This window comes from Homo sapiens, chromosome 8, assembly GCF_000001405.40.
Source record: "Homo sapiens chromosome 8, GRCh38.p14 Primary Assembly".
Taxonomy (NCBI): Eukaryota; Metazoa; Chordata; class Mammalia; order Primates; family Hominidae; genus Homo; species Homo sapiens.
In genome coordinates, this window is record NC_000008.11 from 78,436,115 (window position 1) to 78,462,805 (window position 26,691).

General features: G+C 35.6%; 1 long non-coding RNA gene across 1 annotated transcript in view, besides 3 other annotated features; it reads right to left on the reverse strand.

The window, feature by feature from the left end:
• The window catches only part of LOC105375911 (uncharacterized), a 268,808-nt gene that overhangs the window by 38,943 nt on the left and 203,174 nt on the right, over nucleotides 1-26,691 (reverse strand). The window lies entirely within an intron of this gene.
• Nucleotides 2,624-3,272: an enhancer, noted in NCBI's record as "OCT4-NANOG hESC enhancer chr8:79350973-79351621 (GRCh37/hg19 assembly coordinates)". NCBI's record gives its function as "activates a minimal SCP1, AML or CMV promoter by ChIP-STARR-seq in primed H9 embryonic stem cells {active_cell/tissue: H9 hESC(primed)}" and the evidence as "EXISTENCE:reporter gene assay evidence [ECO:0000049][PMID:30033119]".
• Nucleotides 9,074-9,670: an enhancer, noted in NCBI's record as "NANOG-H3K27ac-H3K4me1 hESC enhancer chr8:79357423-79358019 (GRCh37/hg19 assembly coordinates)". NCBI's record gives its function as "activates a minimal SCP1, AML or CMV promoter by ChIP-STARR-seq in naive and primed H9 embryonic stem cells {active_cell/tissue: H9 hESC(naive and primed)}" and the evidence as "EXISTENCE:reporter gene assay evidence [ECO:0000049][PMID:30033119]".
• Nucleotides 9,102-9,151: a silencer, noted in NCBI's record as "silent region_19307". NCBI's record gives its function as "represses an Ori minimal core promoter by ATAC-STARR-seq in GM12878 lymphoblastoid cells {active_cell/tissue: GM12878}" and the evidence as "EXISTENCE:reporter gene assay evidence [ECO:0000049][PMID:35858748]".

Genomic DNA, 26,691 nt, shown 5'->3' on the forward strand with positions numbered 1-26,691 from the left:
CTTGGTTAGGTATATTCCTAAGTATTTTATTTACAAATGGCCAAGAAACATATGAAAAACTGCTCAACATCACTAATGATCAGAGAAATTAAAATCAAAACCACAATGTGATACCACCTTACTCCTGCAAAAATACCCATAATAAAAAATTTAAAAATAATAGATGTTGGCGTGGATGCAGTGAAAAGGGAACACCTCTGCACTGCTGGTGGGAATCTAAACTAGTACAACCACTATGGAAAACAGTGTGGATATTCCTAAAAGAACTAAAAGTAGAACTACCATTTGATCCAGCAATCCCACTACTGGGTATCTACCCAGAGGAAAAGAAGTTGTTACACAAAAAAAAGATACTTGCACACACATTTATAGCAGCACAATTCATAATTGCAAAACTATAGAAGCAGCCCAAATGCCCATCTATCAATGAGTGGATAAAGAAATTGTGGGAGATTATTTATATATATATATATATATATATATATATATATATATATATATATATATATATATGATGGAATACTACTCAGGCATAAAAAGGAACAAATTAATGGCATTCACTGTAACCTTGATGGAATTGGAGACTATTATTCTAAGTGAAGTAACTCAGAAATGGAAAACCAAACATCACAAGTTCTCACTCATAAGTGGGAGCTAAGCTATGAGAATGCAAAAGCATAAGAATGATACGAGAAACTTTGAGAACTCGGAGGAAAGGATGGGAGGGGGGTGAGGGATAAAAGGCTACAAACTGGATTCAGTGTATACTGCTTAGGTGATGGGTGCACCAAAATCTCACAAATCACCACTAAAGAACTTACTCATGTAACCAAATACCACCTGTTTCCCCAAAAACCTATGGAAAAAAAATTTTTTAAATGTAAGTAAAGAGAATAAACAGAATTATCCTGATACAAAGTAAAACATTCATAGAGGACATTACAGGCAAATGTATAGAGTTTTCATCTTTGGAAAAGACCACCTGCAATTTTACACCAAAATTTATGCTCTTAATTTGTCTTCTACTGTAGAAACATGTACTGAGAGATTTTTGAACTTTTGATCATATAATACACTCCAACATGCTTTAATGATGATGTGTCAGTTTAAAAAGGTTCCAGTAAGAATCAAAACATATAGAATGAAATTTAACATTAACGTTTCTGATTTTGCAGAAATTTTAAATTCATTGGATGAGGTATATATAAATGGTGCTTCAGTAATCAAGGATTCAAATTTTTAAAAAAGTATAGTACAGTAAATATATAGCAGACCAGTAACATTGTCATTTATTGTCATTATCAAGTATGATGTACTGTATGTAATTGTATGTGCTATACTTTTATTCCACTGGCAACACAGCGGGTTTGTTTACCTCAGCATCACCACAAACAAATGAGCAATCCATTGCACTACAGTGTTCTGATGGCTACAACATCACTAGTCAATAGGAATTTTTCAGCTTCATTATATTCTTATGAGACCATTGTCATATATGCAGCCTTTCATTGACTGAAATATTGTTATGCAGCACTTGAAAGAGAGAGAGGTTATAAAAATTAGCTCATGCAATTATCCTGGCCAAAAAAATCCCATGATTTGCTGTGCAAGCTGGAGAACCAGTAAAGTCAGTAGTGTAATTCAGTCCCAGTCTGAAGGCCTGAGCACCAGGGGAGCTAACAGTGTAAGTCCCAGTCTGAATTCAAAGTCCTGTTAATCAAGGGCGCTGATGTCCAAGGGCCGAAAAAGATGGATATCCCACTCAAGAAGAGAGAGCAAATTTGCTCTTCCTGTATGTTTTTGTTCCAGTTGAGCCCTCGGCAGGTTAGATAATGAAAGCTATTATCTATATTCAGTCTACTAATTCAAATGCTAATCTCTTCCAGAAACATTCTCACAGACACATCCAGAAATAATGTTTTATTGGATATCTGGATGTTCCTTAGCCCAGTCAAGTGACATAAAATAAACTATCACATTCATTATGTAGTTTGGGGAAGAAAAAACCAATTTACGAGACAACTGAATATCTGATTCAACTGAAATCTAAGAAAATATTTCAATTTATAACAGAAGTTATTACACAGATTATAGAAGGGAACAGGGAAAAAAGTCAGAGATTATCAAGAGCAGGGAGCCATTACTAAATCCTGGGTGGAAGAGAGAAATGGGTGAGGCAGTGTGGGAAGAGCCCAGGGGCTGCTGTCACTTGGTAGAAGGTGGAATTACGTAACTATTAGGTTGGTGCAAAAGTTATTGCATTTTTTGCCATTTCTTTCAATAATACTATCTAAGAGGAGCCGGAACAATTCAGGCTCCAGACACAAATGGAACACCTGAAACTTCTCTTCCCTTTCTTCTCTCTTCCTGCTGCCTTCCAATCTCTATCCAATGACTCTTACTGAATAGACCCCTACCAGATCTCTCAATAAGGAAACTTGAGATACAAAGAAATCTTAATAAGAAGACTTGACAGCCTGCAGGGATTAGCCTCCCAGGCACATAAAGCAGAGCAGTGGAATGGGGAGAAATGGATCTTGAGCCAAACTGTGCCAGTACTGGCACAGAAGCTTAGGCTAGTAGGGAAGGAATATCCTTGGATACTTGTTGCCAAAAGAACAAAATTGTAAGGCTATAAATGTCTAGTATATATGTGGGGAAAAGAAAGAGAGATCAGACTGTTACTGTGTCTTTGTAGAAAGAAGTAGACATAAGAGACTCCATTTTGTTCTGTACTAAGAAAAATTCTTTTGGCTTGAGAGGCTGTTAATCTGTAACCTTACCCCCAACCCTGTGCTCGCAGAAACATATGCTGTGTCGACTCAAGGTTTAATGGATTAAGTTTTAGGGCTATGCAGGATGTGCTTTGTTAAACAAATGCTTGAAGGCAGCATGCTTGTTAAAAGTCATCACCACTTCCTACTCTCAAGTACCCAGGGACACAAAACACTACAGAAGGCCGCAGGGACCTCTGCCTAGGAAAGCCAGGTATTGTCCAAGGTTTCTCCCCATGTGATAGTCTGAAATATGGCCTCCTGGGAAGGGAAAGACCTGACCGTCCCCCAGCCCGACAACCGACAACCCTAAATGGTCTGTGCTGAGGAGGATTAGTAAAAGAGGAAGACTTCTTTGCAGTTGAGATAAGAGGAAGGCATCTGTCTCCTGCTCGTCCCTGGGCAATGGAATGTCTCGGTGTAAAACCCGATTGTATATTCCACCTACTGAGATAGGAGAAAACAACCTTAGGGCTGCAGGTGAGACATGCTGGTGGCAATACTGAGATGTTTACGTATGAGCACATCAAAAGCACAGCACCTTTTTCTTTACCTTGTTTATGATGCAGAGACATTTGTTCACGTTTTCCTGCTGACCCTCTCTCCACTATTACCCAGTTGTCCTGCCACATCCCCCTCTCCGAGATGGTAGAGATAATGATGAATAAATACTAAGGGAACTCAGAGACCAGTGCCAGCGTGGGTCCTCTGTATGCTGAGCACCGGTCCCCTGGGCCCACTTCTCTTTCTCTATACTTTGTCTCTATGTCTTTTTCTTTTCTCAAGTCTCTCGTTCCACCTGACAAGAAACGCCCACAGGTGTGGAGGGGCAGGCCACCCTTTCAATATACCGTCTCTAGTTCACCGTTTTGTGATTGGCATCATTGTTTATGAATCATGCTGCTATAAACACACATGCACACGTATGTTTATTGCGGCATTATTCACAATAGCAAAGACTTGGAACCAACCCAAATGTCCAACAATGATAGACTGGATTAAGAAAATGTGGCACATATACACCATGGAATACTATGCAGCCATAAAAAATGATGAGTTCATGTCCTTTGTAGGGACGTGGATGAAATTGGAAATCATCATTCTCAGTAAACTATCGCAAGAACAAAAAACCAAACACCACATATTCTCACTCATAGGTGGGAATTGAACAATGAGATCACATGGACACAGGAAGGGGAATATCACACTCTGGGGACTGTTGTGGGGTGGGGGGAGGGGAGAGGGATAGCATTGGGAGATATACCTAATGCTAGATGACGAGTTAGTGGGTGCAGTGCACCAGCATGGCACGTGTATACATATGTGACTAACCTGCACAATGTGCACATGTACCCTAAAACTTAAAGTATAATAAAAAATAAAATAAAATAAAATAAAATAAAATTATCCATGGTTGGTTCTCCCAAATCAAATTAATAAAAAAAAGTTTTCTATAAAAAATGGCACATAAATATTTTTTATTTCTTTGACATTTTGCAATTAAGAATAACATAATTTATTAATGTTAGTTTTTCTTTATAAAAGATATTTTTATCTGGTTAAAATGGAGTTACTGTGAAAATAATTTTCACCTAAATTAGTTTTCCATTTTATTCTCTGCTGCTAGTAATAAAAGCACATCTCCCAGAAGTGATGAAAGCATAATTTCAAATGGTTCATAGTAAGGGAGTTTTCACTTTTGATAAACTGTGTATAGTCAAAAGCATGGTCGCAACTTTAAACCTATTTTATTTCCATTAAATCCATCTTTAAATTACAATATTAAAGAACTTCTTGTCCCACTAATAATTATACTATACTTTTTTAAACTTTTAATTACTGAATGCAACAAATTTTTAGACTAAGAAAACAAACTCATTTCTAGTGTACTATTTCTGTAATATATTAATTTTTATAAAATATTCTGTTTTATTTATACTATCATAATTATCATTAATTTCAAATCTTGTTTTTTGTTGGAGTAACAGTTCATGTGATGCATAGTAAAACACATAAAAAGACATATAAAATACCCCCAGAATATAGCCCATTCTAATTGCCTATTGCCTGTCTTTTCCAGATTTTTGTATAATATCCATGAAGTTTAAACTGATTTTAAAATTCTATGATTTTGGTGGTAATCTATCAGAAAATATAAATTGAAAAAAATAGTAAGCTGACCCTCTAGACTATAAATTCCTAAAATCAAAAGCATGCCATATTCCCCCTTTCCTTAACTAAATTGTCTGTAGTTCAACCTGAGGGTAATTAAGGCAATGCTTTATGTGCTATTTTGATGCTAGCCAGGGTAGTCAAAATTTTAGTCATAATAGGCAAATTATATTCTCTGACCTCAAAACATGGAACCCACCTTCCTCCTTTTATTAAGTTACTGTTCTTTCCTTGTTCTGAGCAGTATCTGTGCTTTTTCTCAGAACTACTTTATTGTTACCTGACTTCCCAACCTTCTTGTGTTTTGATTGTTACAACCTTGGTAATAAAGTAAGATTAAATAATTCATTGGCTTACCATTGTGTTAGAAAATAAAGTTTAATTTTACTAAAATGGCACAGAAAACTCTTTATAATCTAGCCCTATCAGCCTCATCTCCACTGTTTCCCTTTCTCATTTTTACTGCAACATTATCATATTGCATACAGTTCTCAAAACATGCAAATTAGTTATTTTGAACATGTTGTTCTTCCCAGCTGAAATGGTCTTATCCATATTAGTTCTTCAGGGTGATTTCTCATTCTTCAACGACCATGTAAATTACCATATCCTCTGGGAGGTCCTTCGTAGACAGTAACTCCTCTCTTCTTAAATCACCAAACAGCATGATGATTACTCATTTAGATGTAAAACTTCCCAGTGAGCATCTTGAAGACACAGTCCATGTGCTTATCATTGTACTTGCAAATGATAAGGTGCTCAACAAGTATTCTGATGAATTAACTAAGAAATTTGTATTGTAAGCTCCTAAAACACAGTGCATTTGAATTGAAAAAGATTTCATACGTATTAAAAGAATTTTGTGATGGTTTTTGATAAATCTATTTTTGAACATTTGTAAAAATAGGAAAATCATTTTATCAATGGTCTATAAAGGAAATAGAATTGCAAATCTTCAGCATTTTAACTTTAAATACTTAAGCCAGACATACGCTGCCACCTTTGAGCCTATGGATTTTTGTGCTACTTTTCTAGATGAAATTTGAAGCATGTGGCACTTTAAAATGATCAGTAAATCTTTAGTTAGGGTTAAGGAAACTCTAACCTTCCTTTGACATCTAGGAGTAATTGAGCTGGTAAGAATCTGTGGGACACACGATTTCCTCAAAATCAAGGAATCTTTATTAGTATGATCGATCTTCATATGCTTTCATCGAACATTTTCTATAGTGAGTAACTCATCCCGTTTTTGGTCAGTTCCAACTATTAAAACATTTCTTCCTTTACACAGCAAAATTCTACTCTCATGATGTCCCACAGCTGTTTTGTCCCACACAGAGGTCAATGATTTTCATCTGACTCTTCACATGTTTGAGGTTTAGTTGCATTAATTCTTGAAGTTAAAATGAAAAAAAATAAGACTATATATATCACTCTGGATCAATTTTGGCATCAACATAAAGAAAAAAAAGATATCTTTCTATATATAAAAATAATAATTTGTATAAAGTTTTTAACACATAAAACCCATTATATTTTATTGGTATATAATATTTGTACATATTTATTGGGTACATGGGATATTTTGTTACATGCATAGAATGAATAATGATCAAGTCAAGGTATTTAGTGTATTAATCACCTGAAGTATTAATTATTTCTATGTGTTGGGAACATTTCAAACCTCAGTTTCCTCAGTGATCATATAAAATTAGCCCTTGACTACTCTTCTTCCAAAAACAAAGCAATATCCAAAAGACCCAACTGTTTCAAAGTGACTTACCTATGTCACTGAACAAATCCCAAGAATACTTTCAGAAATAAAAAATATGCAGCACAGAAAAGGTAAATTCATAATATCTAATAACCCATCAAAATGTACCAGGCAAACAATCAAGCTGAAAAATACAACCCATAATGAGAGGTAAAATCAATTAATCAATTGAGACTATATATTTTACAGATAAAACACTGTAGACAAGATCATTAAAGTAATCACTGTAACTATAAACCATATGTACAATAAAACAGAGTGGAAATGAGCATATTAAGTAGAGAGATGGAAGATAAATATCAAAATTACCCTTCAAAAGTTTCAAACACAATGTTTGAGATAAAAACTACACTAGGTGAGATTAAGTACATAAGATTTTTGATAGAGTTGGTTAAATTCTCTATGATCTGAATGATTTTCTGTCTATCTGTTTCACTAATAATAAAACAGGGAAGCTGAATTCTTCTGTAATTGTAGGTGGTCTCATTTCTCATTTTTCCTCAGGTATCTTAAATTTCTCTTTTCAGGAGCATAAATATTTGGAAGTATTATTTCTTTTTGATTAATTGACCTATTTGCCATGTTGAAATAATACTCTTTATTCCTGCTCTATTCTTTGTGCTGTGGTATCTATTATACTTTGCCTGATGTTATTACAGGCACTCCAGCTTGGTACATATGTCTTCCAATCCTTTGCTTTTAACTTAAATGTTTCATTATATAACTGGTTACTTTTGTTATATAACTGGTTATTTAACTGGTTAAAGTGTGTTTATAATAGGCAGCATTTTGATAAATATTGCTTTTATATCCTATTTGGCAATCTCTTATATTTAACTGAAGTATGTAGATCATTTTCCTTTAATGTAATTATTGATAATGGTTAGGTTTAAATCTGCCACCTGATATGTCTACTCTTTTTCCTTTTTTGTTCTCATTTCTCTATAGTCGTTTTTTATTTTTTGAGAGTGAGTGTGAATATTTGTGTGTGTGTTTAGTGTATACTATAGTGGCAATCAAAATTAAACAAAACAAAATATGGCTTTCAAGTGATATTAAATTGCCATATATATAAAATAAGAATCTTGAAATAGTATGCTTCCATTTCTCTCACCTTGGCTTTTGTGTTTTGTTATTCTATCTTCTAATTTTATTTATGTTATAAACTCCAAAATACAGTACATAACATTTATTTAAAGAGTCAACAATTTTTAAAAGAGATTTAATAAGAAATAAACATCAGAAAATAAACAGCAAAACAAATCCAAAACAATGTAAAGTAAAAAGACCAGTGTGAATCAAATAAAGAGAAAACAGAAAAATAACAGAGAAAATCAATGAAACCAAAAACTAGTCCTTTCAGAAGAAAAATAAAATTGATGAACTTCTAACGAAGCACCTGGGAAAAACCTAGAACTAACATCATACTTAATAATAAAAGACTGTATGATTTCCTACCACTCAGGAACAAGGTAAAGATATCTTTTAGATGAGGGGTTAGAGAAAAATAATCAGGATAATTATTCATAATATTAAATACCCTAAAATCTGTTTTCAACTCACTTACTGATCCAAATTACCTACATTAAAAATTATAGATGGATGATACAATGCAGATAGATAGATAAATTCAGTTTGTTCTTGCTGTTTCAGAAATGACTAAAAATAATACTCCACTTTTAACAAAGTCGTGATTTTAAAAGTGCTAGATAAAATGCTATTATCTTACCTAAAATCTGATGCAAAAGCAGAGAAAACCATTTAGCTCCTCCTCTCTTTCCTTCTCTGTCTAAAACAAAGTGATTTAGTGAAAACACAATCTCCTGAAAGAATAAAGACCTTGGTCTTACTCTGAGCATTGGCATTAAATTTGATACCTAAGTATATAAGCTCATTTATCTGGTTTCAGTTTTCTAATTTAAAATATAAAGAAGTTAGAGTAAACAGTGCTTGTAAAACTAAAGTCTCAGAGTAATCAGTGGACATATTCCTCCTGACTTACAATTCCTACCTCAGAGTTTTATTCTTTTAAGAATATCAGCATTTTTCGGGTTCCAAGATGGCCAAATAGGAACAGCTCCAGTCTGCAGCTCCCAGCATGAGCAACACAGAAGACCAGTGATTTCTGCATTTCCAACTGAGGTACCAGTTCCATCTCACTGGGGCTTGTCAGACAGTGGGTGCAGCCCACGGAGCAGGGTAGGGCATCGCCTCACACGGGAAGCACAAGAGGTTGGGGAATTCCCTCTCCTAGCAAAGGGAAGCCATGACAGATGGTACCTGGAAAATCAGGACACTCCCACCCTAATACTGCGCTTTTCCAATGGCCTTAGCAAACTGCACACCAGGAGATTACATCCAGTGCCTGGCTCAGCGGGTCGCATGCCCACAGACCCTCGCTCACTGCTAGCACAGCAGTCTGAGATCGAACTGCAAGACAGCAGCGAGGCTGGGGGAGGGGCGTCTGCCCTTGCTGAGGCTTGAGTAGGTAAACAAAGCAGCCAGGAAGCTCGAACTGGGTGGAGCCCACCACAGCTCAAGGAGGCCTGCCTGCTTCTGTAGACTCCACCTCTGGGGGCAGGGCATAGCTGAACAAAAGGCAGCAGAAACTTTTGCAGACTTAAAAGTCCCTGTCTGACAGCTTTGAAGAGAGTAGTGCTTCTCCCAGCACAGAGTTTGAGATCTGAGAACGGACAGACTGCCTCTTCAAGTGTGTCCCTGACCCCCAAGTAGCCTAACTGGGAGATACCTCCCACTTGGGGCCAACTGACACCTCATATAGCTGGGTGCCCCTCTGAGATGAAGCTTCTAAAGGAATGATCAGGCAGCAACATTTGCCGTTCTGCGATATTTGCTGTTCTGCAGCCTCTGCTGGTGATACCCAGGCGAACAGGGTCTGGAGTGGACCTCCAGCAAACTCCAACAGACCTGCAGCTGAAGGTCCTGACTGTTAGAAGGAAAACTAACGGAAAGGACATCCACAACAAAACCCCATCTGTATGTCACCATCATCAAAGATCAAAGGTAGATAGAAAACACAAAGATGGGGAGAAACCAGAGCAGAAAAGCTGAAAATTCTAAAAATCAGAGTGCCCCTTCTCCTCCAAAGGAACGCAGTTCCTCTCCAGCAATGGAACAAAGCTGGATGGAGAATGACTTTGACGAGTTGAGAGAAGAAGGTTTCAGATGATTGGTAATAACAAACTTCTCCGAGCTAAGGAGGACGTTTGAACCCATCACAAAGAAGCTAAAAACCTTGAAAAAAGATTAGACGAATGGCTAACTAGAATAACCAGTGTAGAGAAGACCTTAAATGACCTGATGGAGCTGAAAACCATGGCATGAGAACTGCGTGACACATGCACAAGCTTCATTAGCCAATTCGATCAAGTGGAAGACAGGGTATCAGTGATTGAAGATCAAATGAATGAAATGAAGTGAGAAGAGAAGTTTAGAGAAAAAAGAGTAAAAAGAAACCAACAAAGCATCCAAGAAATATGGGACTATGTGAAAAGACCAAATCTACGTCTGATTGGTGTACCTGAAAGTGATGGGGAGAATGGAACCAAGTTGGAAAACACTTCAGGATATTATCCAGGAGAACATCCCCAACCTAGCGAGGGAGGCCAACATTCAAATTCAGGAAATGCAGAGAACACCACAAAGATACTCCTTGAGAAGAGCAACTCCAAGACACATAATTGTCAGATTCACCAAGGTAGAAATGAAGGAAAAAATGTTAAGGGCAGCCAGAGAGAAAGGTCGGGTTATCTACAAAGGGAAACCCATCAGACTAACAGCAGATCTCTTGGTGGAAACACTATGAGCCAGAAGAGAGTGCGGGCCAATATTCAACATTCTTAATAAAAGAATTTTCAACCCAGAATTTCATATCCAGTCAAACTAAGCTTCATAAGTGAAGGAGAAATATAATCCTTTACAGATAAACAAATGCTGAGAGATTTTCTCACCACTAGGCCTGCCTTACAAGAGCTCATGAAGGAAGCACTAAACATGGAAAGGAACAACCAGTACTAGTCACTGCAAAAACATGCCAAATTGTAAACACCATCAATACTAGGAAGAAACTGCATCAACTAACGAGCAAAATAACAAGCTAACATCATAATGACAGGATCAAATTAACACATAATAATATTAACCTTAAATGTAAATGGGCCAAATGCTCCAATTAAAAGACACAGACTGGCAAATTGGATACAGACTCAAGACTCATCAGTGTGCTGTATTCAGGAGACTGATCTCACGTGCAGAGACACACATAGGCTCAAAATAAAGGGATGGAGGAAGATCTATCAAACAAATGGAAAACAAAAAAAAGCAGGGGTTGCAATCCTAGTCTCTGATAAAACAGACTTTAAACCAACAAAGATAAAAACAGACAAAGAAGGCCATTTCATAATGGTAAAGGGATGAATTCAACAAGAAGAGCTAACTATCCTAAATATATATGCACCCAATACAGGAGCACCCAGATTCATAAAGCAAGTCCTTAGAGACCTACAAAGAGACTTAGACTCCCACACAATAATAATGGGAGACTTTAACACCCCACTGTCAACATTAGACAGATCAATGAGACAGAAAGTTAACAAAGATATCCAGGAATTGAACTCAGCTCTGCACCAATCAGACCTAATAGACATCTACAGAACTCTCCACCCCAAATTAACAAAATATACATTCTTCTCAGCACCACATCACACTTATTCCAAAATTGACCACATACTTGGAAGTAAAGCTCTCCTCACCAAATGTAAAACAACAGAAATTATAACAAACTGTCTCTCAGACCACAGTGCCATCAAACTAGAACTCAGGATTAAGAAAATCGCTCAAAACTGCTCAACTACATGGAAACTGAACAACCTGCTCCTGAATGACTACTGGGTACATAACGAAATGGAGGCAGAAATAAAGATGTTCTTTGAAACCAATGAGAACAAAGACACAACATACCAGACTCTCTGGGACACATTTAAAGCAGTGTGTAGAGGGAAATTTATAGCAGTAAATGCCCACAAGAGAAAGCAGGAAAGATCTAAAACCGACACCCTAACATCACAATTAAAAGAACTAGAGAAGCAAGAGCAAACACATTCAAAAGCTAGCAGAAGAGAAGAAATAACTAAGATCAGAGCAGAACTGAAGGGGATAGAGACACAGAAAACCCTTCAAAAAATCAATGAATCCAGCAGCTAGTTTTTTGAAAAGATCAACAAAATTGATAGACTGCTAGCAAGACTAATAAAGAAGAAAAGAGAGAAGAATCAAATAACGCTATAAAAAATGAAAAAGGGGATATCACCACCAATCCCAAAGAAATACATAATATCATCAGAGAATACTATAAACACTTCTATGCAAATAAACTAGAAAATCTAGAAGAAATGGATAAATTTCTGGACACATACACCCTCCCAAGACTAAACCGGGAAGAAAGTAAATCCCTGAATAGACCAATAACAGGTTCTGAAATTGAGGCAATAATTAATAGCCTACCAACCAAAAAAAGTCCAGGACCAGATGGATTCACACCCGAATTCTACCAGAAGTACAAAGAGGAGCTGGTACCATTCCTTCTGAAACGCTTCCCATCAATAGAAAAAGAGGGAATCCTCCCTAATTCATTTTATGAGGCCAACATCATCCTGATACCAAAGCCTGGCAGAGACACAACAAAAAAAGAGAATTTTAGACCAATATCCCTGATGAACATCGATGCAAAAATCCTCAATAAAATACTGGCAAACCGAATCCAGCAGCACATCAAAAAGCTTGTCCACCAAGATCAAGTTGGCTTCATCTCTGGGATGCAAGGCTGGTTCAATATACACAATTCAATAAACATAATCCATCATATAAACAGAACCAAAGACAAAAACCACATGATTATCTCAACAGATGCAGAAAAGGCTTTTGAGAAAACTCAACAGCCTTCATGTTAAAAACTCTCAATAAACTAGGTATTGATGGGACATATCTCAAAATAATAAGAGCTATTTATGACAAACCTACAGCCAATATCATACTTAATGGGCAAAAACTAGAAGCATTCCCTTTGAAAACTGACACAAGACAGGGATGCCCTCTCTCACCATTCCTATTCAACACAGTGTTGGAAGTTCTGGCCAGAGCAATCAGGCAAAAGAAAGAAATAAAGGGTATATTCAATTAGGAAAAGAGGAAGTCAAATTGTCCCTGTTTGCAGATGACATGATTGTATATTTAGAAAACCCCACCATCTCAGCCCAAAATCTCCTTAAGCTGATAAGCAACTTCAGCAAAGTCTCAGGATACAAAATGAATGTGCAAAAATCACAAACATTCCTATACACAAATAACAGACAAACAGAGAGCCAAATCATGAGTGAACTCCCATTCACAATTGCTTCAAAGAGAATAAAATACCTAGGAATCCAACTTACAAGGGACATGAAGGACCTCTTCAAGGAGAACTACAAACCACTGCTCAATGAACTAAAAGAGGACACAAACAAATGGAAGAACATTCCATGCTCATGGATAGGAAGAATCAATATTGTGAAAAAGGCCATACTTCCCAGGTTATTTATAGATTCAATGCCATCCCCATCAAGCTACCAATGACTTTCTTCACAAAATTGTAAAAAACTACTTTAAAGTTCATATGGAACCAAAAAAGAGCCCACATTGTCAAGACAATACTAAGCCAAAAAAACAAAGCTGGAGGCATCATGCTACCTGACTTCAGACTATACTACAAGGCTTCAGTAACCAAAACAGCATGGTATTGGTACCAAAACAGATATATAGACCAATGGAACAGAATAGAGCCCTCAGAAATAATACCACACATCTAAAACCATCTGATCTTTGAAAACCTGAAAAAAAAACAAGATATGGGGAAAGGATTCCTTATTTAATAAATGGTGCTGGGAAAACTGGCTAGCCATATCTAGAAAGCTGAAACTGGATCCCTTCCTTACATCTTATACAAAAATCAATTCAAGATGGATTAAAGACTTAAATGTTAGGCCTAAAACCATAAAAACCCTAGAAGAAAGCCTAGGCAATACCATTCAGGACATAGGCATGGGCAAGGACTTCATGACTAAAACACCAAAAGCAATGGCAACAAAAGACAAAATTGACAAATGGGATCTAATTAAACTAAAGAGCTTCTGCACAGCAAAAGAAACTACCATCAGAGTGAACAGGCAACCTACAGAATGGGAGAAAGTTTTTGCAATCTACCCATCTGACAAAGGGCTAATATCCAGAGTCTACAAAGAACTTAAACAAATTTACAAGAAAAAAATCAACCCTATCAAAAAGTAGGCTAAAGATATGAACAGATACTTCTCAAAAGAAGACATTTAAGCAGCCAACAGACACATGAAAAAATGCTCATCATCACTGGCCATCAGAGAAATGCAAATCAAAACCACAATGAGATACCATCTCACACCAGTTAGAATGGCAATCATTAAAAGGTCAGGAAACAACAGGTGCTGGAGAGGATGTGGAGAAATAGGAACACTTTTACACTGTTGCTGGGACTGTAAACTAGTTCAACCATTGTGGAAGACAGTGTGGAGATTCCTCAAGGATCTAGAACTAGAAATACCATTTGACCCAGCCATCCCGTTACTGGGCATATACACAAAGGATTATGAATCATGCTGCTATAAAGACACATGCACACGTATGTTTACTGCAGCACTATTCACAATAGCAAAGACTTGGAACCAAGCCAAATGTCCATCAATGATAGACTGCATTAAGAAAATGTGGCACATATACACCATGGAATACTATGCAGCCATAAAAACGGATGAGTTCATGTCCTTTGTAGGGACATGGATGAAGCTGGAAACCATCATTCTGAGCAAACTATCTCAAGGACAGAAAACCAAACACCACATGTTCTCACTCATCAGTGGGAAATGAACAATGAGAACACTTGGACACAGGGTGGGGAACATCACACACTGGGGCCTGTCATGGAGTGGGGGGGAGAGAGGAGGGACAGCATTAAGGGATACACCTAATGTAAATGATGAGTTAATGGGTGCAGTACACCAACATGGCACACGTCTACATATGTAACAAACCTACACGTTGTCACGTGTACCCTAGAACTTAAAGTATAATTTAAAAAAAAAAAGTTGATCTCATAGAAGCAGACAGTACAATAGTGGTTAATAGAGGCTGGAAAGAGTAGTGGGGGAAAGGGGATATGAAGAACTTGGTTAACCAAAACAAAATCACAGGTAGATAGGAAGAATAAGTTTAGTGTTCTGTAGCACTGTACAGTGATTATAATTAACAATAATTTTTTGTATATTTTCAAATTGCTAGAAGATTTTTAATGTCCCCAACACAAGGAAATAATAAATGTCTGAGGTCATAGATATGCTAATTATCCTGATTTGGTCATTATGCATTGTATACAAATGTTGAAATATCACATTGTACCCCATAAGTATATATAATTCTTGTTTAATTAAAAATAATAATAAAAGTTTTAAAACCCCCTAAAAAAAGAATATCAGCATTTTTGTATTATCTGTAAGATGCTTCATAACCCACAACAAACATGAATTTGAGAACTCATAGTTCCATCTGTACTTATGCCAAGCAGTATCTCATTAACTGAAATAGTCTGGCAAAAACAGTTCATGGAATAAAATGCAAACAATTTCTTCCCACCAATTGAAGAATAACACATATCAAGACAAGCAGTAGACATAAGATTTCACAGGAGTACGAGATAAAATTGTGAGAGAATTGAGCCTTCCCATATATTAGTATAGGCAATATAAATATGCCGAAGAAAAAATAATATGTAATAATTCAGGATCATTTTCAGCTTTTACAAGTTTGAGACAAAATTGAATTTTAGCAAAAGAACCACATGTAACATATTAAAATCATCTGTCACTTATCACATTAGTATTATTAATCTGAGGTCCTCAATACAATTTTATTTTATTAATTTGTCTTGGTAGTATAATTTTATTGGAGCTTAGAATTATACTAATTTTATGTTTATAAATATTTAGAAGATAAAAATTATTTAGGTCAACACCAAAGAAACTACAAGAATTTTGTTTGCTGCTTTTAAATTTCATAAATCACCCAATCTAAGAAACATTGATTTAAATATTCTCTAAGATTCTTTTCTCCTCTAAAGTACTATGACATTCACCTCTCCCTACATATATACCACATATAACCACTAGACATCAGCAAGACACTTGAATTAAACGTGATTTTCTTTATCTTCCTCCTGTTCTCCATGAAATGTAGGATTAGAAGAAGTCTGTTATATCTACGCAATATATTTAAACTACCAACCTTTTAATCAAATGCTCTAGGAAATTTTCTACACCTCTCCCTAATCTTTGCTTTATCCATTTTTTTCTATTATAATGCAACTCTATTCTTTTGCTTTATCTTTGTTATAACAGCACACACACACATACACCCACTCACATGCCTCACTACCTATTTGTAATACTGTTGAGCTAAAAATTTAGTAGGTAATATGGAAATGATGGTAAAAAATGAAATTTGTGTATATTTAATAGATTGAGATTGATCAACCTGCTTTAGAAAAGTAAATCTAGTAAGAGTGGAATCATGAAACAAAAGAGGAAAGACTGAAAATAACAATATTTAATATTTACTGAACATTTACTATGCCCTGATAACTTTTCTAATCATTTTTATAAGTTATTTTTTAATGCTCGTAAGACTCCATGAGGAAGATGTATTGGTCACTCCATTTTGCAGATGAAGAAAATTAGAGACTCAATCACGCTGCTAATTAAAAGCAAAGCTAGACTTTCCAGCCAAAATATCTGACTCTCATCTATTATTTCCAGATCACTCTAGAGGTATGATATAGTACAAAGTCAGATGAAGAGATCCTACATGAAGACAGTGGCAATGAGTTACAAGAAAGAGTAATATGAGTTAGAAAGATACTTGAGGTAAATCGAGAGGATGTTTTTACTGACCAACAATAAGACCTTACATTAAAGGATGTATTAACTCAGAGAATTTCAGCTTAGATAGTTGAATGGATATGTTTGTCATTAATCAAAATGAAGAATTCAGTAAGAAAAGTAGGTTTAAAATGGTGGTAGCTAATGAGCTTTGATTTGGGTTTCTGCAAAAGCATTCTGATTTAACAGTTATTTAGTGAGTGCCTACTATGTGTCAGACACTATTCTAGGCAATTGAAGTCTATCAACTAACAAAAACAAAATTCTCTGTCCTTCTGGAGCTTACATTTTTATAGGAAGAGATGGACAATAAAAAACAATCACCATAAATAAGTTTTAGATGGAGAGGAGCTGCATCTTCAATGCCATTTAAAAGAACCAACTTAGATGGAGCATGATGGCAAGTGGGGCTCTCCAGCAGTCATCTCTTGACAGAAACCTCAATTCCAACTGTTCATGCATGAAATTATCTTCACAAAAGCTACAGAAATCTGAACAAACAAGCAAAGCTGTAAAACCTCCTTGGACTACAAAGACATGTAAATCTGTACTTGGACAATAGGGGGATTGATTCTCTATGACTATGATACCACTTCCCCTGAGCCATTATGATACCATATGTGGAAAGTTCCCTTGTACTTATGGTTTCTACACTAGAAAAAGTGAGATGGAGGCAGGCTTTAGCTTTCTGACCATCCTGGGTCCCTCTGCTGGAGACTGGTTCTTGCATTAAACTATGAGAAGCATGCAAAAACTGACAGAGCTGAACCATCTGAGGCCAGCTAGGGACAAAGAGAGAAGGTAAGTCTAGCAGCTGCCAGTGCACAAAATTTTACACGACTCTAGGAGTTGACAGTGCACAAAATTTGACAGTGACTCTTCATACTTGCCAGAAGAGATGCCACAACAGAGAGGCTGTTTAGGGGCACCTTGCTGCAGGAAGCATGGTCCACAGATCTTCTGGACTTGAAGACCTGGCTAGCTCTCCCACATGGCCCAGGTACCCTCCATTGATGTCCCATGGACACATCCTGGTAATACATTGCATTAGCAGCAGAAACATCACAAGATTCATATGTAACCTGGGCTTAGGGCCCCTTTAAGTGCTAAATAGAATGTGACAGTCAGCTCAGAACTTGTCAACAAGCCAACTAAAATAGAAAAGTCACAAATTTTGGCCACAGATACTGGAACGCATACCTGATTCATCAATGCATAGGCAGTGATGAATATTTGCAAGGAATAAGAAAAGCCTAGAAGAGATGGCCTAACCAAATGGACAAAACAAAGAACCAGCAACTGAACAAAAGACAGACAGATGAATGCACTGGCAGACAAAGTATTCAAAGTGGTTGTTTTAAGGAGACTCAGTGAATTTCAAAAAAAAAAAAAAAACACACACAGAAAAACAATTCAGAAGTTTAGCAGAGAAATTCAAAAGAGAGATTGAAATATAAAATAAATTCAGAAGCATTAAAGTTCAATAAGCCAAATGAAAATGCAATAAAGTCAACAGCAGAACTGATAAAACTGAAGAAATAATTTGTGACTTTGAACATAGACTTTGTGAAAATACAGTCAGTGGAGAATAAAAGAAAAAAAGAATGAGGGAGAACGAAGAAAATGTATAAGATCTATGGGACACCACCAAAAAGCGTAATTCTACATGTCATTGTCTTTTAAAAAGCACTAGAGAATGAAAATGTTGAATAGCTTATTCAAAAAAATGAGAAAACTTTCCAAACCTAGAAAAAAATAAAAATATCCAGATACGAAATATCAAAAGTCACCAGTCATATTTAATCCAAATAAGATAACATCAAGGCATATTATTATCAAACTCTCAAAGATTAAAGACAAAGAGAGAATTCAGAAAGCAGCAAGAGACAAAAAGCAAGTGACACATATAAGGGAATTCCAATATGTATGGCAGCAGACTTCTCAGCAGAAACCCTACAGGCGAGGAAAGAGAGACATGATAAACTCAAAGTGCTGAAGGAAAAAAGCAACCTCTCAACTGGGAATACTGTATGCAGCAAAGCTATACTTCAGAAATAGCTTTGGAGAGATAAATACATTTCCAGACAAATAAAATTTAAGGGAATGGGTTGCAACCTGACCTGCCATACGAGAAATGCTGAACAGAGTTCATTGAACTGAAAGAAAAGGACACTGGTGTGTCATGCAAAAGCAGCATCCAAAGGTACAAAACCCATAAGTAAAAGTAAGTATCCAAATGCAGAATAAGCTAACATGGTAAACCACTTATATCTTTAGTAGAGAGATTAAAAATAATAATAATAATAGCTACAATAACTTGGTAAGAGATAAGAAATATAAAAAGATATAAATTAGACATCAAAAACTCAAAATACAGGGAGCAAGAGTGTTTAAGGCAGAGTATTTTTGTTTAATTTTCTTAACAAATTAAATTGTTAATCAGTTTTAAATCACCTGTAAACTATAAGATGTTCTTTCGCCAGGCGTGGTGGCTCACGCCTGTAATCCAGCACTTTGGAAGGCCGAGGCGGGCAGATTACAAGGTCAGGAGATCGAGACCATCCTGGCTAATACGGTGAAACCCCGTCTCTACTAAAAAATACAAAAAATTTGCCAGGCGTGGTGGCGGGTGCCTGTAATCCCAGCTACTCGGAAGGCTGAGGCAGGAGAATGGTGTGAACCCGGGAGGCGGAGCTTGCAGTGAGCTGAGATGGCACCACTGCACTCCAGCCTGGGCGACAGAGTGAGACTCCATCTCAAAAAAAACAAACAAACAAACAAACAAAAAAAACAAAGATGTTCTTCATAAGCCTCATGGTAACCACAAGGCAAACACATTTAATAGATACACTAAAAATAAAAAGCATAAAGTCAAAACATAACAGAGAAAATTACTTAGCCACAAAGGAAGACAGTAAGTGAAAAAGAAAGAATCTATAAGACATCTAGAAAACTAGTAACAATATGTCAGTACGAAGTCCTTACCTATCAACAATTACTTTGAATATAAATGAATTAAATTCTTCAACTAAAAGATATAGAGTGGCTAAATGGCCTTTTTAAAAAAGCCAAGATTCAATTACATGATCATATGCCAACTACAAGAGACTCACTTCACCTGTAAGCATACACATAGATTGAAAGTGAACAGATGGGAAAAAATATTCTGTGCAAAGAAAACCAAAAAAAAAGCAAGATTAAATATACTTATTTTAAATAAAGTAAACTACAAGTCAAAAACTATAAAAATAGACAAACATGGCAATTAATAATAAAGGGTCAATAAAAGAGTATATCACAATTATAAATATACATTCACCCAACATTGAAGCACCTAATCAAATAACACAAACATAAATAGATCTGAAAGAAGAGATAGAGTAATACAATAATACCATAAGACTTATTACATTAATAAGATCATCCAGATAGAAAATCAACAAAGAAACATCAGTTGTAAAACTCACTCTGGACAAAATTGACCTAACAGATATTTATAGGGCATTGTATCCAACAGCTGCAGAATTCACATTTTTCTAAATTGCACATGGAGCATCCTCAAAATAGATCATATGTTAGGCCATGAAATAAGTCTTAAATTAAAAAAAAAATCAAAATCATAACAAGGATCTTTTTGAATTAAAATGGTGGAAAAAATAGAAATCAACAACAGGAGGAACTTCAGAAACTGTACAAATACATTAAAATTAAATAACATGCTCCTAAACAATCAATGGGTCAATAAAGAAATTAAGAGAAACCGTAAAATGTTTTAGATATATAAAAATGAACACACAACATACCAAAACTTATAGGATACAGCAAAATCAATTCTAAGAGGGAAGTTTATAGCAATAAACACAACAACAAAAATAATCTCAAACAACCTAATGGTGCATCTCAACAAACTTGAAAACAAGAATAAACTAAACCCAAAATTGCTAGAATAAAAGAAATAATGAAACTTAAAAAGAAATACAGAAGATCAACAAAACAGTTGCTATTTTGAGAAAAACAAAATTGAAACACCTTTAGCTAGACTAAGAAAAAAAAAAAAGAAGACTCAAATAAATAAAATCAGGGACATTAAAGGAGACATTACAACTGATACCACAGAAATACAAAAAATGATAAGATGCTAAGCAATTATATGCCAACAAATTGGAAAACCAAGAAGAAATGGATAAACTTTTCAGCACATATAATCTACCATGACAGAATAAAAAAAAGGAAATCTGAACAGATCAACAATGAGTTAAGAGATTGAAGCAGTAGTAAAAAGTCTCTCATCAAACAAAATTCCAAGATCTGATTGGCTTCACTGCTAAATTCTACAAAACATTTAAAGAGTAACAAATACTAATTTTTCACAAAATATTCCAAAAACTTGAAAAGGAAAGATTTCTTCCAAACTCATTCTACAAGGCATTACCCTGATACCAAAACCAGACAGGGATACAGCAACAAAATTATTGGCCAATATTCCTGATAGATATGGATTCAAAAAATTCTCAAAAAATTATATGCAATCATAATTCAATAGCACATTTAAAAGATCATTTACAATTATCAAGTGGGATTTATCCGAGGTATGCAAGGCTGGCCTTACATATACAAATCAATAAATGTGATACATCACCTAAACAGAATGAAAGGTGAAAACCATAAGATCATTTCCATAGACACTGAGGAAGCATATGACAAAATTCAACAGAACTTCATGATAAAAACTCTCAACAAATTAAACACAGAAGGAATTTACCTCAATATAATAAAGGTTATATATGATAGACCAACAGCCAACATTACAGTAAACAGAGAAAAGTTGAAAGCCTTTCCTCTGCAATCTGGAGCAAGACAAGAATGCTCATTTTCACCATTTTTATTCAACATAGTACTGGAAGTCCTAGCCAGAAAATTGACAAGAGACAAAATAAACAAATAAAAGACATCAAAAATGGAAAGAAGGAAGTCAAATTCTCCCTATTTGCAGACAACATGATCTTATATGTAGAAAACCCTAAAAAATATATAACTAATAAACAAATACAGTAAAGTGGCAGCACACAAAATCAACATGAAAAACTTAGTAGCATTTCTATTAGCTAATAAAAAACTATCTGAAAAAGAAATCAAGAAACAATCTCATTTGCAATAGCTACAAAAAATAAAATGTCTAGGAATACATTTATCCAAAAAGGTAAAAGATCTCCACCATGAAAACTATAAAGGATTAATGAAAGAAATTGAAGAAGATGCAAATAAATAGAAAGACATCTTGTGTTCATGGACTGGTAGAATTATTATTGTTAAAACATCTATAACTACCCAAATATATCTGCAGATTCAATGAAATTTCTATTAGAGTTCTATTGTCATTTTTTACAGAAATAGAAAAAAAGAAAATTCTAAAATTTATATGGAACCACAAAATACCCTAAATAGCCAAAGCAATCTTTAACAGAATAAACAAAGCTGGAGGCATCGCACTGATTTCAAAATATACTACAAAGGTATAGTAACTAACACAACATCATACAGGCATAAAAACAGACACATAAGCCAGCGAAAGAAAGGAGAGAACCCTAAAATAAATCCATGCATTTATACAGCCAAATGACTTACAACAATGGTGCCAAGAATATACAATGGAGAAAGGACAGTTTCTTTGCTGGATGATGCTTGGAAACTGGATATGCATATACAAAGAATGAAACTACACTCCCATTTCTCATCATGTACAAAAACCAGTGCAAAATGAATTAAAGACTTAATTGTAAGACCAATAACTATAAAACTATTAGAATAAAACATAGTGAAAATATTACATGACGTCAGTCTGGCAAGGATTATTTTAGACAAGATGTCAAAAGGACAAACAACAAAAGCAAAAATAAACAAAAAGTTTGCGCCAAACTAAAAGCTTCTGCACAGCAAAGAAAACAATAAACAGAATGAAGAGACTAGCTAGATATGTGGGAAAATAATTGCAAATTATACATCTAAAAATGAGTTAATATCCAGAATTTCTTAGGAACCCAAACAACTCAAAGCAGTAATAATCATCATCATCATTATCTGTATACGAAATGGACAAAAGACCTGAACATATTTTCTCCAAAGAAGACATACAAATAGCTCACAGGTATATGAAGAAATACTCAACATCACTAACCATCAGGGAAATGCATATCAAAACCACAGTGGGATATCACCTCACCCCAGTTAGAATGACTACTATTGAAAAATTTAAAAATAGCAAATGCTGAAGAGGATGTATGAAAAAAAGAACTCTTGTGTACTTTGGGGAATGTAAATTAGTATGAACATTATAGAAAATAGTATGGAGCACCCTCAAAAAATTTAAAATAGACCTAGATATAAAACAGCAACCCATCTTATGGGTATATACCCAAAGGAAATAAAATCAGTATGTTGAAGAGAGATCTGTACTTTCATGCTTAGTGCAGCACTATTCACAATAGTAAATACATGAAATCAATGTAAATGCCCATCAATGGATGAGTGGGTAGAGGAAATGTCATATATATATATATATATATATATATATATATATATATATATATACACACACACACATATATATACACACATATGCAACAGAATATATTTAGCCATAAAAAGATGAATTCCTGTAATTTTGCAATAGCATGGATGAGCCTGGAGGACATGTTAAGTAAAATAAGCCAGACACAGAAAGACAAATACTCCATGTTCTCATTCATGTATGCAATCTAAAAATTTGATCCCATAGAAGTTGAGAACAGAATAATGATTACCAAAGACTGGGGAGAACAGAAGGAGAAGGATATGGGGAGAGGCTAGTCAACAGATACAGTATTACAGTTATGAGGAATATGTTCTCATACCTTACTGCACAGTAGGGTGACTATAGTTAACAATAATGCATTGTATTTTCCCCATAGCTAGAAGACTTTGAATGTTCTCACAAAAAAGAAATAATAAATGTTTAAGGTGATAGATATAAGTACCATGACTTGATTATATTATACGTACATTTATCAAAACATCACATTGTACCTCATAAATAGGCATAATTATTCCTCAATAAAAAAATAAAGAACCAACCTACTTCACAATCATAATTATCATCTTTCTTACATCTGTTGCATGCAATAGATACCATGCTCCAAATAAATTAACTCCCTCATCTACCTCATCACAGATAGTCATAGGTAAAATGTTTAGTAATTGCCATGCCAATTTACCTTTTTGCTCATAATATTGTCTTAGCCAGACAACATGGAAGCTGAGCCTAAAGATAAGCTTACATGCTAATGCTCTAGTCTGTAGTATCTCAAGTCTGGTCTGCCCAACAGGTCCATCTGCATTGCCTTGGAACTTGTAAAAATGGCAAGGTCTTGGGCCCCACTGCAGATATATTGAATCAGAATGTCTAAGGACAAGCCTTGACATGGGTACTTTAAAAGTTCTTCAGGTGATTCTTTCATTTACTAAAGCATGAAGGATAGTGCTTTATAGGATGATACAGTTAAAGTAATGGAGAACTGAGGCAGGGAGGGAAAGGAAGCAATATAAAGCTGCACAATAAGATCAGCCAGTTGTTTTGTCTGCAAAATACAGCTCCAAACAAGGTTTACAGAAACCCTAATCCATTGAAAGCATAAAAACTTCTCTCTTACCTTTTTCTCTCATTGCTCAAACTTGACCCCATGGTTTATTGCTTCTGCGGCACACCAGGTCCCTTCATGTGGCTACTGTGAAAAGTATACCCCATTCCATAAGTGTGAAAGTAGTAGGAGGGGCAAAATGTATGCTCTGCAATTTTTCAGATTACATCCAAGCATGTTTCCTTATTTGTACATTTTATTTTTTCGTTTTATCTTATTTCTGAAAAAAGATGAGAATTTTGTAAAATGAAATAAAAAGGCATTCTTTTGTTTTTCTGGAGACAGAGTCTCATTCTATCCCCCAGGCTGGAATGGAGTGGCATGATCTCGGCTCACTGCAACCTCTGCCTCCCAGGTTCAAGCGATCCTCATGCCTCAGCCTCCTGAGTAGCTAGGATTACAGGCGTCTGCCACCATGTCCAGCTAATTTTTGTATTTTTAGACGGGGTTTCGCCATGTTGGCCAGGTTGGTCTCGAACTTCTGACCTCAGGTGATCTCGCTTCCCAAAGTGCTGGGATTACAGGCGTGAGCCACCGTGCCCGGCTGACATTCTTTTGTAAATGATGATCTTGCATCTCTCCTAGATAGTGTCAGTAATTGACTTCTGTTACTTTTCCCTTATGCAAACACATACTCCAGTGATCCTTGAAAGGAGAATTCCAGCTCTCAATTCCCATTTGCATATTTTTACCTGGAAATGGAAGTAAAACTATTGCCCCTTTAGTTTTAGCTTTCATTGTTAAAAGTTTTTTTCACTGCCTTCAAAATTCCTGCAGGAACTTGTGGAGAATGGGGGTCGGCAAATCTATTATAAGCTTTGTGTATCTTTACTGAGCATGTGAAAAGCTGAAGAAGCCAAGATGGTAGCAGAGACCCCTCATTACCTATTTCATATGTCATGAATTCTTCCTTCAAAGGCATTCTTACTTGCTCCTTCTCTTCCTTTCCCACAGTCACCTGTCAAGCAGAAATCCTGATCATCACCCCAGCTGGATTAATGCAAATGTCTTTCTACTCAGAGCTCTAGCACTAGACTCACCACCTCCACTTCCAACTCTTCCACTGCCCAGCTGAGAATAATTTTGAAGAATTGGTACTTCCTACATTGAAAAAAATTTTGACATTCTTTAGCTTAGTTTCAAAAACCTCCTTTTAGATGACCCTGCTCTACCACCTACCGCCTAGTTTGCAAATCTACTCTAGGCAATAAGCCAGATGATTCTTCAATGTTTTTCTCTAAAACACAGGCTATTAATATATTCATAGCATGATTCCAGAGGATAAACACGGTTATCTGAACTTGCTATAGTACTTTAGTTAAGAAACTAGGCTTGCAAACGAGGTAGAAACAAGAGATAAAATCTAAAGAAAGCTATACCACTGATAGAAAAATTAAGTGCTTCAATGCTAGGGTAGTGTCATCAGTTAATTGTGAATCCTTTCTATGCAGGCACTTGGATTCCTCTCCTTTCCTGTCCTCTCCTCTTTTCAGTGGTTGGTTGTGAACCTAGGGGTGTGTTATCACCATTTTGAGTCTGCTCATTGCCACCGGAAAAAAAAAAAAATTTCCTTAGAAAGTGACAAGCAAAATGCCAACTTGGGCCATCTGGTACCTACATAATTAATTTTAAATACCAATCAAGCTAAATTCAGCCTGGACCATTAATGCAGATGGGCTTACTGCCCAAGAGTTATAGTTTCCGGAATCAAATGAAAATGGGACTTTGCCATTGTTGCAAGTGTGATCAAGTTTTAAAACATGCTACTAAGAGTTACTGAAAAAAAATATTTTACTAGTGAGCATATGGTTTTATTTACTGTTACTCTTTCATCCCTAAATAGTTATATTCAATATTCATTTTGAAATTGGTACGAAGCCATGACAAAGAGTCCTAGGTATTTGGCAGCATAAAGCTGCACAATTTATCAATATTTGGTAAAACAGAAACAGCTATTATACAGACCAGATGGTCTTTGCATATGAAACTTTAAATAATGGATATCATTTATATATAAATTATAGGGTGAGAAATAGAGTATAAACAATGCTTTAAGAGCATAGCAGAAGAGTGATTTTTTTCTGTTTATCCCTCTGTTTCTGATTCACAGGGACCTAAGCAATCTTCAGCTGCCTTTATGTAAATATGCAGTGAGAATAGATCATAAATATTACTACAAAAGTATAGATAATAGAGCTATTGATAGATATTTAAGATTATCTGATCTCTCAGTTTTAGAGATTACAAAACTGAAGTACAGAAATTTTAAATGATTGAGTTGT